The sequence below is a fragment of the Homo sapiens genome, chromosome 7 (assembly GCF_000001405.40).
Source record: "Homo sapiens chromosome 7, GRCh38.p14 Primary Assembly".
Classification (NCBI taxonomy): domain Eukaryota; kingdom Metazoa; phylum Chordata; class Mammalia; order Primates; family Hominidae; genus Homo; species Homo sapiens.
In genome coordinates this window covers 40,560,456-40,578,915 of record NC_000007.14, presented here as the reverse complement: position 1 = coordinate 40,578,915, position 18,460 = coordinate 40,560,456, and the positions used below count along the sequence as shown (strand labels likewise).

Below are 18,460 nucleotides of genomic sequence, written 5' to 3'. Positions count from 1 at the left end.
TCTTGCTTTCATGGAGTTCACATTCTATTTGGGAAAGGAAAAAATAAACAGAATTAAATGAAAAAGAAAATATCAGAAACTGACAAGTATCAGGGAAAGCAGGTGGGGGTGAATTTAAATGGCATGGATAGGAATGATAGGTCTTTTTTATTGCATGACTGGAGCTAGCTATGAGAAGATCACAAGACTTCCCATTCTTGAGTGCCTAAGAGAATCGCCTGAGTTGAAGACTACCAATGCCTTGGCTATATTCTCAGAGACTCATTTTGCTGGGTTTGGGAGGTGGGGCCTGAGCATTGGTATTTTCTAAATGTTCCCCAGCTGATGCTAATAATCAGGACAGAACCACTGAAGAGGAAAAATGTTCCAGGTGAAGGAATAGCTAGTACCAAACTCTTCCAATGAGGGGTGAGGCTTGTGATTAGAGCAGTGGTTGACAAACCTCTAATTGTAATCACCTAGACAGCTTTTAAACATCCAGATACCCATACCACACCCCAAACCCATTAAATAGAAGGCAAGGGGTGGAGGTGGGGCCAAGAAGAGTGAGGAGTGGGAAGCAACAGTATTTTCGAAAAGTACTCAGGAGTTTTCAATGTACTGCCAAGTGTGTTAGACAAAGTGACCAGTCTTCCTGGTTTTCCCAGGACTAAGGGATTTTCAGGGACATGGAAATTTCAGTGCAAAAACTGGGGCTGTCTCTGGCAAATGATAATTTGTCACCAGGGTTAGACAAGTCATTCTCAAAGAATGGTCCTACGGCATCAGAAACGCTGGGGTGAGGCCCCGCAATCTGTGTTATTACAGCCCCTCTACATGATTTTGATGTAAACTAAGGTTTGAGAACCAATGTGTTAGAGTAATGGAGAAATCTATGTCTACAGTGTAGACAGAGAAGGGGGCAATGGTTTGAAGAATTAATGAATAAATCAATTGACTCATCAGGAAATATATGTTGATAATGTCTAAACAGGATGAATATTAAAGTCTTGATTTTATGAATGTATAAGCCAGTAGAAAGGCATATTTTGCTCAAGCAATAAAACAAATGTTTATAGTTTTTAAACAATCAAAAGCAAAAGAAATCAGCTTAAGGCTCAAACTGCTGTGAAACTCCTTAGAATAGAGTACCTTGATAATATGATGCCAAAAGAAAACCACTTACAGTTTAAAAAAAAAGTATACTGGAAAGCGAAGGGGAAATTCCAGAAAGGAGGGAGCCCAAAATGCAGAGTCTATAAACTTTGTTCCAACTGTGGCTGACCCCTGTGATGTGCATATAGCACTGACAGCTAAAGCTAATGAGAACTAACCCAAGATTTGAGGTGTGAGATAGAGAGTTTACAGTTTGAGTTCAGCAAAATTAAGTGACTATTTTTTAAAAACAGCACTATTCAGGGGAGTATATCAAAATACAGAGTCTCTACAAGAGATCATTCATGACTAGAAAACATTTACTGAATTTACTCAACTGCCCCCAACATGCCATAAAAAAAAAAAATCCAGGAAAATACGAGATTTGCAAGAGAAATGACAAATAATGGAGACCAATTACAAGATACCCAGATATTAGAACTAATGTCTTGGGATGCTTCCACCCAATCTTCCTTCCCTCTCTCCTCCACTCAGAGTAGACATGCATGAGTTTTAGCAGCTCTCAGTCTTTTCCAGCTCCTGTCTCATTTTCTCTTACAGGTGCTTCCTGTATTAACATCCTTGCAAGTGGTACCTGCCTCTCTGAGGATCCAGCTACGCAATGAATCTGAGAAAGCTTAAAATCGGAAATGCTGCTCTAGTAATGGTTCTCAAACCCTGGTGGTCTTGACATACAGGTCTTATTAAAACACAGTTGCTGGGCTCCACCTAAGAGATCTGGATTCTGAATTTGTATGTCTAACAAGTTTCCAGGTAATCCTGATGCTTCCAGTCTGGGCTACACTTTAAGAACCACTGGTGTAAGCATCACTCTCCTTGGCCCCAGGACAATAGGATGATAAGGGATCTCACCAATCACCTTTCCTTGTTTGGTTTCTGAGTTATTTCCTGGGGGAAATCTGATGCTTGAGCATCTGCTATTAGAGGGAAGGTGAAAGCATAGGAGGCAGGGACCAGGCCTTCTCCCCTACTACAACCAGAGCAACTCTGCTACTCTCTGTTTCATATATTGATATTTTATTTGATGAAAGAGTTCAGATGATAAGAAAAATATTTGAAAACAATGGCTCTAATAAAACTCAGCCAAGCTGTTGCCTATACAAATCAAAGACAATCCCGGCAACTCTTGCCTCTGGTCGGGTTTACCAGATGGACAACACTGACCAGTAGCTAAATTGTGAACAGCCATGCCCTATGCCCTTGTACTAACTTTCACATGCGTAAGTCTGCAGTAACACTTAGGTCTCCAAGAGCCCTCGATTTCCCTGACTCACATGTTCCCTGCTCTCAACGCATGGGAGAGACTTTTTATCCTTTTGGTGAGACAAAATAGCTTCTAAGCAAACCATATGGAAGAAACATTTTCCTCTGGTGAGGGCAGACCTTTTTCCCTTTCTTCTTTCACTGTTGCCCCTTCAAAACCTGCTTCCCTTGTTTGATAGCTGCAGGGGAGAAGACAAATAGTAATCAAACAGTTCAAAGCTGCAGGCAGGGTCAATCTTCAGGCTGCTGCTGTTCTATCAACAGATAAACACTTCTCATCACTTTTAATTCTTTTAAACACATTCCTGCTCTGCCACTAGAGCTAAGTTATTCAAAAAGCTAAAAAGTTTCATGCGTCTTATTTTTTATTTTATGTAAATGAAAGGGCCTGCCTTTTACTTTTCAGTACTAACTGATAGATGCAAACATGAGCAACGGTGAATTATAAAGGACTGACAGTCGCAACTCAGTGATACTGTCTAGTTTTTACAACATGGGAGAAACATTACACAGTTACATACAACTCTTTCTTTTTCTTTTTTTTTTTTTTTTTTGAGACAGTGTCTCACTCTGTCACTCAGGCTGGAGTGCAGTGGCACAATCTCGGCTCACTGCAACCTCCCCCTCCTGGTTCAAGCAATTCTCCTGCCTCAGCCTGTTGAGTAGCTGGGATTACAGGCATGTGCCACCACACCCGGCTAATTCTGTATTTTGAGTAGAGACAGGGTTTCACTATGTTGGCCAGGCTGGTCTCGAACTCCTGACCTCAGGTGATTCACCCGCCTCAGCCTCCCAAAGTGCTGGGATTACAGGCATGAGCCACCACACCCAGCCTCAGATAACTCTTAACTCTTCAGGTACAAGTGATGGAAACCTAAGACATTTTTAGCTTTTTTTTTTTTCCCATTTAAATACTGCCACTTAATGAACCAATAGGACTTCTGAGATTAAAAGATGTGGGGTGGGGGGAAGTAGATGCAACATATGTTTGCTGTTAAATAGAAGTTCTGACAAAAATTTGGTGGGAGGAAGCTACTAGGCATCAACTTCTTCCATATTTTGAATCAAGTAGTAATTTGAATATGCCATCCCTACGTCACTATCCTGGGATAATTAGGAACTATCTTTCGGTGGTTAGTTTTTTGTTGTTGTTGTTGTTGTTTTTTAAATAACGTTGGTAAGAAATTAAATCAGAGAAGTGATAAACAGAAGATAAGGCAACAATAACAGAGAGCTGAAGGGGCCTAAGTCCTCTTCTTTAAAAAGTATAACACTTTAAACTTTCATATTGGTAGTGATGACTTTTGGAGGGGTATGTTTGAGGCAGACGATCCGAAGAATTTACTCCAAAACTTCACCCATCTCCACCCCCACCCCCGCCACCCTCCTGCCCACCATCCTGCTTCTATCTTGTTGAAGTATAGGCATACTGAAAAAAATCTGCTTAATGAGTTAAGGAGGGATGCAGAGGCAGTGCGATGGAGGGGTGGAGATCTTAAACACTGGTTCAAATGGTTGAGTTTGAATCTCAGATTTAGCCACTCAGCAGACTTTAGAAAAGATGTGCCCTCTTTCTGCTGTTTCTGTATCTATACATCAGTTAGGCCAACCTAACTCTCCAGGATTGTTGTGAAGATTTCGTGGCATGATGTCCACAGAAGCAAGTCCTACGGTTATTTGTAACATAGTACTTGATGCTCAATAAATATCGGTTAAAAAGTAGGAAGCTGATTCATAATCTTTTGGAAGATTAAACTAACAGGCCCAGCCGGGCACGGTGGCTCACGCCTGTAATCCCAATACTTTGGGAGGTCAAGGCAGGCGGATCGCCTGAGGTCACGAGGTCGAGACCAGCCTGGCTAACATGGTGAAACCCTGTCTCTACTAAAAATACAGAAATTAGCAGCGTGTGGTGGCGTGTGCTTGCAATCCCAGCTACTCGAGAGGCTGAGGCAAGAGAATCTCTTGAACTGGGGAGGCACAGTTTGCAGTGAGCCAAGATCACACCACTGCACTCCAGCCTGGGCAACAGAGCAAGACCCTGGCTCAAACAACAACAACAACAAAACAAACAACAACAAAACTAACAGGCCCACCTTCAGGATGACATAATATATCTTCAGAAATGAAATTGGAAATAAAGGTTAAAACAGTCTTAAGTTATGTAGGGGTTTGTTTTATAAGGAGTTTCATTTGCTATATTGGAGAACTGGGGATAAAAAAGAGATAAGTGAATGAATAAATAAATACAATAGAATGTAGGAATGCTCATGCTTCCATATACAAAGGCTTGCTGGAGTAGAGAGAGGAGCAGCTGCCAAGAGTGAGGGGAGGTGAGTATCCAGGGAAAGTTTTGCTTTGCACAGAGACTCACAGAGGACTTGAGCCCTGGTTATAAGCGGAATTCGTCACACAGATGTAGTGGGGTAGGGGGCAGGGAACAGTGAGCATACCAGACTGACATTATGTGTGCTCATATAACATATGACTTCAGAATAACACAGTTTCATCAATTTGCCATGAAAAACAAGAAAAAGAAACATCATAGGTGAATAAAACTTGCCCATTTAAAACAGGCAGTTTTAAGCAGAAGAAAATGGAGAAAGTAAGAAACATGAATAAGGCTCTCAAATTGTGTGCTATAGAGGAAAGAGAGCCAGGAAGTCAACAACCTGCTCAAGTCCAGCTCTACCAGATGCTACCTGGGGGATCTTGGACAAATCTCCTCAAACTCTGAGCCTCAGTTTTCTCATCTCCAAAAACTCAGAGTTGGCTTAGCAGATCATTAAGGCATCTGCCATTTCTCAAAACCGTAGGACACAATGAAAATCAAAGCTCTACTTCTACATATCTATTAATTAAAAGAGACCAGTGAAGAATCTGCTGCTGCTTTTGAAAAATCACTGTTTTGAAACCTCACTTCACCATACAAAACAGATTATACACCTATAAATCTTATGTCTATATGTATGTATGGATGTGTGTATGTGCATGAGCGTATGTGTGTTACAGCTTATTACTTAGGGGAAAAATAGACTGGATTAAGTCACACCTGGGTAAGGTGGATGGGGAGGGAGGGATGGGAAGGAAAAGGAATTTGAAATGTCTGCAGAGCTCATTAGTGCCCTGATACTAAATGATTCAAGGACATCTTTGGCTTTGATTCAAACAGTTGTTCTGTTCTGAGTAACATGACGACAATCTAAAGATCCACAGCTGGCCTCTGGAAAATCCTGTCGGATTCTTCTGTTCTAAAAGTAACAGATTTGCTGTATTGGTTGGATGATACAGGACCATTTCAGAATGAATCCTGTCAAAGCCAGGGGCCCAGAGGAGCTGCTTCCTAAAGCAGTTTTGGTAGAAGATGGGATTCGTTTTTAAGTTGCTCTGGTATTAAGAAAGGCTGAGTAAGCAGTTTTGAGAGGTCACAGCTCAAGTTCACTTAAACAAAAAGTGAACATTTGTGTTTAGACATTGTGGGGGGTGCATTTTTGTTACTCTACCCTATGTCTTCAGTCCCGGGGTTTCTCAGCCCACTCTCCAAATAACGCAGAGGACAGATGACGTCAAGATGAATCACATGCCTCCGCGTGTATATCCTGTCTTCTCTTCTTTCACAGAAGTTTGATGCCACAATGGATGCTACCAATGACACCATTTGATTTGGAAATAAGGAGATAGGCCCAAGTTTTTATCGGACACACCCCTCATTCTTCGTTCATCACAGCATCCCTGAAATTGAAAGCCAGCAGCGACCCGAGGTACCATCAATTTAGCTGCTTATTCCTAAGAAAAAGTTAATACTTTAAACATTAGGATAATATGAGATTAAAATCATAAATTTATTCCAGAGGCGTGAAGGATTTACCCCAAACGCTTCTTTCTACCTTTGCTTTTTAAACTGAAGATAATCCCCATTAAAGTTAGACACAGATTAATCTAATACATAATTTTCACTACTTGCTGGGGGGCTCAGGGATTGTTATATCACACCGCACGTGCTCCCCTTACATGTAAGATCCTCCCCTCCAACTCCTCACCTCTCCTTCCTTAGATCCCAGAAAGCTCTGACCACCAATGAATGGAACACGAGCCACCTGAGAGCCAGTGATACCAAAATATTTCTAGGAATGAATTTATCTCTTTTCAAATACAAACTCTAAGCCCTGCGGAATTTCTTTTTCTTTGGGGAGGCAAAAGAAATATTTTCCTTGCTGCCACACCAACAAATTTTCTTTTTCCCCCCTGAATTTTTACAGTCAATTTTCTACACTCAAATTTGCATGCCTGGTGTAAATTTCCAGGAGCTTTCCTCCTGGAAAGCCAGTGTCTCATACGCCTCCCAGCAAACACTGACCACATCCTGAACGAAGCTAAGCACTGTGTAATGCTAAGCAGACCTGGGCCCGTAGGAAACAAGATGCCACATTCGGGACAGCTGTCAGCACTCATCCAACACCCTGCCTTCCACTCGTCCATCCCTGCAATTAGTGAGGAGTGAGGTTTGGAGGTAAGTGGACAGCTTCTGACCCCCAAAGCAAATGAGAGCAGTCACTTGATTGCTATTTTGCAAATACTTTGCTGAGGTTGACCACTGTCTGAAACAATTTCATTTCTATGTAAGTGTTGCTTACTAACCCTTTTCTCCTGAGACACTTGAACATCATTTTACACATTCCTACATAATCCCAAAGAATTTAAGAATACCACAGATTCACACTTTAGTTTTAAGCAACTGGTGCCTGATAAAAGCTTTTCTGAAGACAGAAAAGTAGCTTGGTGGTGGTGCTTGATCCATTTAGCAAATATTTAAGTCAGATTCAAGCCAATGAATTTTTTTTCATTGATGTGTTCATGCAAAAAACATTTTCTTGAGCATTTATTTTGTTCAAAATACTATGTCAAATGCTGTAGCTGACATGAAAACAGAAGCAACAGCTTCTCCCTTAAGAGATATTTGTGTGTGCATGAACAATTGTAACCCTCCTGTATACAGAAAGTATAGAATTTAAAATTTTGAAATAGGAAAATAATGACATGCATTTACCAAATTTAGAAATGATTAGACATGGAACTCAAAATTAATTTGCACTTGAGTTCACACTTTCTCACAATAAATTTCATAGTCAAAGAAAAAAGTAACAGAATAAGTGATCTATAATCAAATATTAATTTCATTTATACAGTAATTCTCAAAACTTTAATTTTTTACTTTATTTTCATCAATATTAATGCTTTGGGGATGCTGTTATTTTAAAAAGCAGTTAATGCTTGCAGATAATTAAAATGTGGCAAGGGCAAGCTTAGCTATGCAAAGCATAATACAATGCAATATGTTTTAAAGATCTTTTATTGTAAGTCAAATTACAAACTGAAACGGCCTTTATGTGGTATTTTGATCAGTAACCTGCTTTTACAGATAAGGAAACTGAGGCCCAGAAAGAAAGTGGTACATTTATAAAAGCCTACAGCTTTTATAGCACTGTGGCAGGTGCCTGTAATCTCAGCTACTCGGGAGGCTGAGGCAGGAGAATCGCTTGAATCCAGGAGGCGGAGGTTGCAGTAAGCCAACATCATGCCACTCCACTCCAGCCTGGGCAACAGAGCAAAGCTCCAACTGAAAAAAAAAAAAAAAAAAAAAAAAAAAGAGCCTAAAGCTTTTGCCCAGAGGGGAGTGTACCTGTTGCAAACTCATCGCTGTTTTACTCTTAGTTTAGACATAATCCTAATTAGGCTGGTTATCTGATTCTCCAGCCCAACAGAAGACTTTTAGAAAGAAATAAAGGAAACACCACTAGACTTAGATTTTACAATTGCTGCAAAGTCAAAGAATTAACAACAATGAAGGAAGCAGCTGGGGAAAAGACATCAGAAACATCACAAAATAAATACATCAAATATCAGAAAATGTGCAGCAGCCTGGTGATGTTTAACTTAAGGGCAATTGCTCCATGCACATTAACAGTCCCTCCACATTTAACTGCATTCCAGTCTCTTCTTGTTCCATTCTCCTTGTCTCACATTAAGCTCTAACCACGCTGTTCTTCAGTTCTGCAAAACTTGCCAAGTGCTTTCCCACCTCAGGGACAGCTCATGCTGTTCTCCCTGCTGGGAACTCCATTCTCCCCATTCTCAACATGGCTGGGCCTTCTCTCTTTAAGACTCCCTTTATACAGTAACTGATAGTGCATGGGCACTCAGCAAATATTAGTTCAATAAATAAATGAAAAAATATGTTAACCCTGTGTCCTCCAGGAAAATTAATCTTTAGTATGTTCTCACTAACAAGCAAAGAGAAAAATGCTTATAATATGTCCACCAAAAATGTTTAAAATAAGTCTGTCTTAAAACGGAGTAGCAACTTCAGGTAACTAAAAAAGTTCTTATTTTGAAAATATAATGCAATCACCACTGAGCTACTTCCCTAACATAGTAATTTCTCTTGAAACCCTCATTTTCTTTTCTTTGAAAGCAAGATTTTATAACAATGTGGCTAATGCAGCCTTCCTTTTTATGGTAGCAAGCTACATATCATCAACTTTGGATACCACACTTCATGATTGGTGAAAGAATAATCGCATAAATTTTTGCCTAACAATTTTTCCAATCAGTTAAGTTAAAAAAATCAACTTTATCATTTAGGTCAGAATCGAAGGCTTAACATGATTAAAAGGTTTTTAATGCAATGATTATCATCAGAATAGACCACAGGTCAAAGGGAAAAGACAGTCTAATTGCTTTTTATATTGTAACTCTCAACTATCAATGAGTTAAGTCAAAGTTTTTTTTTTATAATCCTTCCATATTGAGACAATTCCTATTTTACAGTAGAAATGTAAACCCACATTTGTATTTTCTCAATGATCTGTCAGTCCAAGTTGCTCACTTCACAAGTCTTAAGGAAGTGCCTCTTTGCCCCAGCTGTGCCAATTCAACCTGGAATGGGAAACATCGAGCTCTGACACCCTTAAGAGCTACCAAGATTTTGTGATGGAAATGAAGCTGACAGTTTTGTCAGGGATGTGAGAAGCAGAATCAGATTCAGCTAGTTCCTGCGGAGATGTGCTGGCTCTATCAAGATGAAGATAATAAAAGTAAGTTTGGTGGGTAAAATGGGTAGATATAACTCAAAGACACATGGGAAGAGATACTGAGCGAAAGGATGACATTTCACACATTACTGATCAGGGGAGCAGTGCCTTGGCCAAGGGTTCGGTAACCACTGGATGGAAAGGAGAGACTTGAGTGTTTCCCTAGGATCACCTACGTCCTACATTTAGATTCATCTTCTTAAGATCTAAAATCCCTGACCCCTATATCTCATCCCCCTTAATTCATATTTCAAGCAATTGACTTACAAGTCCTTGGCAGCATATATGTGCAATGAGGCTCTTAATGATCCAAAGTCCCATTCCTCACATGAATTGAGTACCTCATTTTTAAAAAGTTACCTTGGGCCAACGCATGTATTATCTACAACCTTTGAAACAATCCTTAAAGGTAGGTGTTATTATTTATGCTTTGCAGATGAGAAAACCAAAGCTCAAAAAGGACAATGAACTTCCCCAAGGTCACACAGCTAGGAAATAGCAGAGCCAGGATTCAAACCCAAGTCCTTTAGAGGGAGGCTGCTCTCTTAGCTTCAATGTTGCTCCTAATTCTCACGAAGGAACTTATTAACTGCTTTTGGCTAAAGGAAGCTATTTTTCTTTTATAAAATGTAAATTAAATAAAATCTCTTCAAAAATATGTAAAGCATCTCCATCATCTTTCTAATAATAAATATTAACTTCACCTGAGCTATGTCCTGGGTTTCCCAAGAGCCATAGCATCATTACAATGTCATTTTCCAGCAAGATGTCTGGACAAGCCATGCTTCATGGCCATGCTCCCCACAGGCCATGTCACCACCAACGACGACTATGGTGCCCATTTATATTTGGAAGCTCTGTCCCAGGAAAGAGGCAATCTCTGGGAGCTGAGGAGCACATTCTTCTGAAAGCTGTTTTTTATAGCAATCACTCAAACAGTTTTCATTTTCTATAAGTTTTGTTTGAGAAAGATCTTAGGGTAACAGTCCTTTGTACAAAACCTTATAGGTTTCTAGTTTGGAGTTTTCCATCTGTTTTTGACCCTGTTCTTGAGGGGTGTGTGTGTGTGTGCATGTGTGTGTGTGTATCACTGATAAAGAAATATTCTTATCAGGGTTATAGGTTATGCTTACTATGTACCTGAATGATGAATTTAAAAATTAAGAAATGTGGTACAGCATCACAAAATAGCCGTTTGACTAACTTTCCACTGAATCAAATTTTTTGCTTCTCCGTTATGTCCAGAGAGACATGATCTTTCTGGCTGGTAAAAGAAAAGAAATGCAGAACTTAGGTTCTTGCCTCTACCACTTATCCTTTCTCAGATATGATGTCATCATTTGCAAAATGGAAATATCTAATAAAATACCCAAGTTATATTGAGACTCAAATGGAATCATTCATTTGAAGACTTTTGAAAATGACAAAGTCTAATAAGCCCTCATGTAAGCTAGTGTCTTACATAAGTTACAGTCTTTCTTTGTATGCCATCATAAGAGATTCCACATAACAGCAACCTTCTGTAGCTTCAAAGGTTGTGGTGTTGCTCAATTTGAAATTTCTTTTGCTATTTTAAATTTGGACATTTTTCCCCAGGAGTTACCTAGTCTGAAGACACGGTTTACTTAGAGAAGCCTACTTGCAATTGTGTGGCTCTGTGCTCCCACACAAAGTAAGAAAAGAAACTTGTGACATGTTAGAATGTTGGCCAACAAAGAAGAGAGTGTGAGAACAACTTTGAAAGCAAGACAGACTTAAACTGGATGGATGTTCCCACTTTCTTGAGAGCCCTCACATTAAGGCTGGAGAAAAGACCAGAGGATAGAGAGGAGGAAGGATGAGGTCCACATTGAAATGCCCAGAGTGCTAGAAGAAATCCCCTATTCAGTAACTTTTCAGATAATATCTAGGCCTATGATGATTACAGCATGGTTCCAAAATGAGCGGTAATGAATAGTGTTGAATCATTTAAACTCCTAAGAAAAAAATCAAGAACAAAGTCTAATGATTATCCCTACTGAGTAAAATATTGCAGACCACAAAATGGTTTGCCATTCGAATGCATTTCCAGCATAAACAAACACATACTTTTAATGCACACACAACTCCCTACATGTAAACCATAGTCAAAGGCTGAAAGAGTTAATTTAGGCCTTGAAGAAAACCTGCTTTAAGCACTGGTTCAAAAGCTCTTAAATAGCAGAAAAATCAATACACTTTTATCAAACGTCAGTGTTTATAGAAGCAATACAAAACAGGATTTTGTTAAATGTATATATTACGCCAGATCAAACTGTAAGTTAAAACATCTGCGTTCAAGTTAATCTCAGATACAGCAAGGAGATTATTTGAATTGTGTGTTTCCTTTCGTGACCTTTTTAGATGTGGCTTTTGGGGGGACAGGCGAGGGAATAATTTTCTTAAGCTTTTAGTTGCCTGCAACAGTGCCAACAGTTGAACATAACAGCAATATTTTTTTAAGTTACCCAGATGAATAACAAAAAGGAAGGAAAATCCCTTTAGTAATTTCAAAATAGTGTTGTATAGGGAATCTTTAAAAATAAACTATAGATATAAATATAGGTATGTGCATCTAAGATTGCTATAGGCTTTCCATGGCATAAAATTTTCAATTAAAACAGCTTTTATGAGCAATAATCACATTTTGAGAAAGCATCCACAACCTGCTCACGGGTTATACCACTTCCTCGATGAAACAAACCTTAAAATATAAGCAAATAGAATGCATTTAGCTTAATATGCATGATGTTTTTTAACATAATAAAGATTTTTAAGGTCTCATAGAAAGTCCTTGGTTCTGGTTTGTAGCAGACAAGCAAAGAAGAACTGAAGTTGATGGAAGCTTTCTTTTTTTAGCTCTGTTTTTAAGGGATCAGACATCTGTAATTCAAATCCATTTTGATTGAAACAATAAATTTGATTCAATTCTGAAATTTCATTTGAAAAGTGTAAGAGAGAAATTCATGGGACCCCTCAAAGTAAATGACAAGCCTGGTCTCTGAAATATGTCAGGAACACATTAACACCATGTAAAAATAACAGCAGAGCCATACCAGAGTCACGACGGCCAAATGTCCTGAAAACAGGGCCCTTCCTGGGAAAGGAATGTGTAGATCTAATACTAATAGTATCTGTGTTAAGCACTTGGAACATATGATTGAATCTCCTTAATTATTATTTTTGGTGTGGTAATGATATTCTGTCTGTTTACTTGGTCATGTGCTGGGGAGAAGATAAGAACTCAAGATTAAGAAGACTACACTGTAGACGCTCCATGGGAAGCAGAGTCATTCAACAAACACACATATTCACTGAGTGTATATTATGGCCAGGAACACCTGAGTTTATGAAGCTTATATTCGTGTGTGTGTGTGTGTGTGTGTGTGTGTGTGCGTGTGTGTGTGTGTGTGTGTGTGTGATATGCCAGGTGTTGATCACTACGAAGAAAATTAAGCAAGGAAAGAGAGTGATCAAGAGAAACCTCTCTGTTGAGGTGACATTTGAGCAGAGTCCTACATAAAATTAGGCAGTAAGCCCCAAGGATGTCTGTAAAAAGAATATTCCATATAGATATAACAGGAAATATTAGAATGCCAAAGTGTGAGCTTGCTTAGTGTGCTAGAGAACATCAAAGGGGTCAGTGAGGCTGAAGTAGAAGGAGAAGGTTGGATAGAGATAGAAAATAAGATAATAGAGGTAAATGGGACCGGATCATTCCACCTCTGGAATTCACGCTCATCATGATGGAAAGACATCGGAGGATTTGAGCAGAACAGGGTCACGATGATCATCGTGTTCAATGACTAGGGTGGTCCAATGAATAGGGTTTCCATCTAAAGTAAAGCACAATGCTGAAAACAATACCTAGTATATAAACGATGTGCAATAAAGATTTGTTGAATCAAAGAAAAGATGAATTAATATAAGAAATAATGGGGATAGCCTATGCCCCAGCAGAAACTTATCTACCATTAGACCTTTATTCCATTAATCAAAGCCATATTCCCTTTACTTTGCAGAACATACCTGAGCAGTATAATAATTTAGCCACTTCAAGTCATCAGTGTATTCCACAAATTAGTTGACTAACAAATCTGGCCAATATAACTATCAACAGAAAGGAGGTTTCCTAAGTGTCTGGACAAAAAGAGACCTAGGGGGTAAGTTTTCCATTTGATTCTCAAGAAGGCATGAGTAATGGTAAAAAATTGAGAGAACGCTACTAAAAGGAGAATAAAATAATGCTGAATTCTGCCTATTTTTCAACGTTCCTTAAAGCCAATTCTGGTAATAACAACTGCCCACATCCACAACATATTTTTAGTATCTACAGTACTTCTTCAGAATCCAGTTTCTCTAGTTGAAGGATGTGGTTATCAGTCCTGGATTACCATTCTTCCTGGGGTACAGGAAATTGGATCTTGAGCTACTTACATGAGAACATAGTTAGCAAGTGATTTTTACCTAGACCAGGATCATATTGGGCATTTTGGAGACAGAAAAATTGTCTTCATTCTCAGTATACAAAAGCCTGCTCTGAAGTAATAAATACGTCTCTTAGAGTGCCCAGTTCACTAACAGAAAGGGAAAGTTGCCATTAGGGAGATCTGATTCCTTCTATCAGTGGGCACAAGAAGTTAGGCCAAGCCCCTCCTAGAAGACAGTCACATTACAAGTATCATTGACCCAGGTCCCAGGGCTCAGTAATATTCAGCCCTTTCTAGGTTATACAATTTTCTTCATTGTCAAGATATTAAATGGTGATGTAAAGGACAGACATATCTCCAGTAGGAAAAGAAATTGAGATTCTGTTTCATGACAGGTTAACAGAATAAGTTGAAATTAACTCTTATAAAGAGAAATTTCAAGTACATTCCTTTCCTCTACCCTACAGATATAATTATTCCCTTATTATGACATGACGGTGGTTGAATTATAAAAGTTACATAGGCTTATCGTTTGAGATGTTGCATTTATTTTATTTTATTTATTTATTTTTTTGAGACGGAGTCTCGCTCTGTCGCCCAGGTCGCCCAGGCTGGAGTGCAGTGGCGCGATCTCGGCTCACTGCAAACTCCGCTTCCCGGATTCACGCCATTCTCCTGCCTCAGCCTCCCGAGTAACTGGGACTACAGGCGCCTGCTACCACACCCGGCTAATTTTTTTGTATTTTTTTAGTAGAGATGGGGTTTCACCGTGTTAGCCAAGATGGTCTCGATCTCCTGACCTCGTGATCCGCCTGCCTCGGCCTCCCAAAGTGCTGGGATTACAGGCGTGAGCCATGGCGCCCGGCCAAGACGTTGCATATTTTTAACAAATAAATCACCTACAACTCAACAACCCAAAGATAAGAAACGTTTTGGTATGTTTACTTCTAGATATTTTTTTCTCTGTATATACATATCCCACTCATTGTGCTGTGGACTTTTAAGGACTGATATCTGTATTTGTCTCCTCGACATCTCTGGGGGACTACTTTTTATATACTCTACTTGCCAGCAGCTATACACAAGTAGGCCTTTCAGATCATATTCTAAAATAATTGCTAGTGCTTAATTATAAAAATTCATTCACAGAAGGAGTATTGCTTTCACTTAGATTGCAGAAAGCCATAAGAGGCTTTCCCCCCCTTTTATTATTATTAATACTATTATTATTATTATTATTATCATTAGAGACAGTATTGCTCTGTTGCCCAGACTGGAGTGCAGTGGTGCAATCACGGCTCATTGCAGCCTTGATCTCCCAGGCTCAAGTGATCCTCCCACCTCGGCCTTCCAAGTAATTGGGAATATAGGGGCACACCACTGTGCCTGGTTATTTTCTCTCTCTTTTTTTTTTTTGTAAAGACAAGGTCTCACTATGTTGTCCAGGCTGGTCTCAAACTCCTGGGCTCAAGCAATCCTCCTGCCTTGGCCTCCCAAAGTGCTGGGATTACAGGCATAAACCACCACACACAGCCCAAATAATGACTTTTCTTTAGCATTTCCTAGAAGGCAACCACGTAAACCAAATACCGAAGAACTGTCAAACCCTTCTAAGAACAGACAGTATCTGAACTATTTCACCTTTGGTAGAACATGGGAGGAAGAAGCAGCTACCATAAAAGCAGGCAAGATGAAAATAGCTAAAATTTTTACAAATTTTCAAGTCCGAGGATGGAACGACATGACAGAATAACTGGAAGTCGCAGATAAAAGGGGAGTCTCCAACAAGCTCCTGTCTTTGGGCAACCACTCCCTGCTGCTAAGAAAGCATGGGAGGAGGACGGGACATAGAGCGCTTCAGGTGCATGTGCATGTGCGTGATGATCCACCGTTACTTGGGCGGAGGAAGAGGGGAAGGAGTTCAACCCCGCTCCCTTCCTTGGACCCCTCCCTCACAGAAAGTAGAAGTCTTAAGCCACTGAGAGAGAGAAATAAAATGTTTCAACTATCAGAGCCAAGTCCAAGATCCATACTTCCGATCTGTTTCACTGTAACCTCAAATTAAACATGTCCAAAACGAACTCATTTTCTTCCTCTTAAAATCTCTACTGTTTCTCTTAACAATGGATGGTGTGGCCGTGCCCCCAGTTTGCATAGCACAAACCTTGGAGTTCATCATCATTCCTTCTGTCTGACCCTTCTTTCCTTAGCGTGAAATTGGTCCTTCTTCCTATCTCTCAGACCTAAACAGGAGAACCTTCTAAATCCCACTGTAACGATTTAGGTCAGGCCCTTACCATCATCTCCCAGGCTATTATAACAGCTTCCATTATAATTAATACCTTTGTCTTCAGTCTCTCCACCTTTCCCACACTGATCAATTTCTGTCCCTCATCAAAATTCTTCAGTCTCTCAGTCCTACAAATTGAAGTTCAATCTCCTCACGCAGCAGAAAACATCTTGTATACCTTTACAAATACATTAGATCTACACCTTATGGCCTGTCTCGAACCCCACTGAAGAAACTGCCATCACACCAGCATCCTACACCATTTTACACCTCATTGCCTCAGTCTTTACACGTCAGTCACTCAGCATGGAATGACCCATCCTGCATTTTCTACCAGATAAAGTGGCATTCACCTTTTTTTTTTTTTTTTGAGACGGAATCTCGCTCTGTCGCCCAGGCTGGAGTGCAGTCACGCGATCTCGACTCACTGCAAGCTCCGCCTCCCAGGCTCACGCCATTCTCCTGCCTCAGCCTCCCAAGTAGCTGGGACTACAGGCACCCACCACCACACCCGGCTAATTTTTTGTATTTTTAGTAGAGACGGGGTTTCACCATGTTAGACAGGATGGTCTCGATCTCCTGACCTTGTGATCCAGCGGCTTCAGCCTCCCAAAGTGCTGGGATTACAGGCATGAGCCACTGCGCCTGGCCTGGCATTCACCTTTTTAGACTCAGCTTAGGCTGGACGCAGTGGCTCATGCCTGTAATTCCAGCACTTTGGGAGGCTGAGGCCAGTGGATCAGGAGGTCAGGAGTTCAAGACCAGCCTGACCAACATGGTGAAACCCCGTCTCTTCTAAAAATACAAAAATTAACCAGGCATGGTGGTGTGCACCTGTAATCCCAGCTACTTGGGAAGCTGAGGCAGGAGAATCGCTTGAACCTGGGAAGCAGAGGTTGCAGTGAGCTGGGATCATACCACTGCACTCCACCCTGGGCAACAGAACGAGACTCCATCTCAAAAAAAAAAAAAAAAAAAAAGACTCGGCTTAAGCATCTCCACCTCTGGCGAATCATCCGTGAACCCCTCCCCACAGGTCTGTTGTGCTTCAAGTTATCTCCCCTGTCAAGTTATGATGTCCTCAAAGTAGGGTTATTGAATCCACTGTGTTTGTCTTATTCCTGTTGGTAACTTTAGCCCCAAGCACAATGCCTGGCACATAATAGATGTTCAATATATCTGTTGACTAAATCTTAAATCTAAAATGAAGACACAGATAGGACTCTCAGTTTCAATAAGTGGTTAAAAATGAGTGGTACTACCATGAGATGCAACCCAGTTCTCCAATTTCAGATGAAATACATTCTTCTGTTTCTACTTATGAGAACTGAAGGAGATTTTAGGAAAAGGAAGCTGAATTTGCTCATTCCAATTAGAGAAGGAAGAAATCCAATAAAGGCTGTTATACATGGGTCTTGCCACTCCAGCTTTTGGTAAAGTCTATCTACTACACATAGCGTCATGGCATTGCTAGAATTCTGTAGCAAGTTGCTTTTCCTAGTCTGTGTAAAAAGGCTTGTATTAGGCCTTACCCACTCGTAAGGAATTTCTGAAAGATATGTGTTCAGTGATAGCATTTCTACTAAGTCCAAACACAGGCAATGCTTTTAAGAAGGAACAATGTGGTGATAATCACCATTTAATTTCAAGTGTTGCATATTTGTTTCAACAAATTTCAAAACATTTCCCAAAGGATTTTAAGGAAAGTCACCAAGGATGTTTAACAAAACAACATATGGAATGCTAATTTTGTTGTGATGCTATACTCTAATACAGCAAGAAACAGATTTTTCGTAAAATCAGCAGATTTGCAAACACTAATTAAGAAACATTGAAAACTATCAAGGTCAATTTAAAAATCTATTTGAAAACAAATATTCCTAGTCTTCTTAGTTCTAGTAATTTCCCACTGGGGATACACTGCACATCAACAAACTTTTACCATGCAAGTTTTACACTGGAAGTAAATAAATAAAGACATACTTTCAATTTTCAATACAAAGCCAAACAGTGAAATTTGGAGGGTTGGGTGGAAATAACCAATTTGTCTCTATCAGTATAATCTCTACTCAGGACTCTAAGATCCTTGGAGTATTGGATTTCACCTTAAGGTACATCATTCCTAAAAGATGTTCCAGAAGTTCTGTGTTTTCCATAAGGGAGTATGCTCTGACAGTGTTAACCCTAGGCAAGAATGATTCTGTCTTGTGTGG

General features: G+C 39.9%; 1 protein-coding gene and 1 long non-coding RNA gene across 19 annotated transcripts in view, besides 1 other annotated feature; one reads left to right on the top strand and one right to left on the bottom strand.

Annotated features, from left to right (window-relative positions):
- LOC105375244 (uncharacterized) overlaps nt 1-13,690 on the top strand; it is a 29,984-nt gene extending 16,294 nt beyond the window's left edge. Inside the window, exons 4-8 of the long non-coding RNA XR_007060293.1 lie at nt 1,696-1,908; nt 6,039-6,179; nt 6,678-6,928; nt 9,340-9,512; nt 13,550-13,690. This is a non-coding gene — a long non-coding RNA (uncharacterized LOC105375244). The remainder of the gene's footprint in view (nt 1-1,695; nt 1,909-6,038; nt 6,180-6,677; nt 6,929-9,339; nt 9,513-13,549) is intronic.
- The window catches only part of SUGCT (succinyl-CoA:glutarate-CoA transferase), a 903,812-nt gene that overhangs the window by 459,901 nt on the left and 425,451 nt on the right, over nt 1-18,460 (bottom strand). The gene's annotated exons all lie outside the window — the stretch shown is intronic.
- Nucleotides 9,040-9,623: an enhancer, noted in NCBI's record as "OCT4-NANOG hESC enhancer chr7:40608892-40609475 (GRCh37/hg19 assembly coordinates)". NCBI's record gives its function as "activates a minimal SCP1, AML or CMV promoter by ChIP-STARR-seq in naive H9 embryonic stem cells {active_cell/tissue: H9 hESC(naive)}" and the evidence as "EXISTENCE:reporter gene assay evidence [ECO:0000049][PMID:30033119]".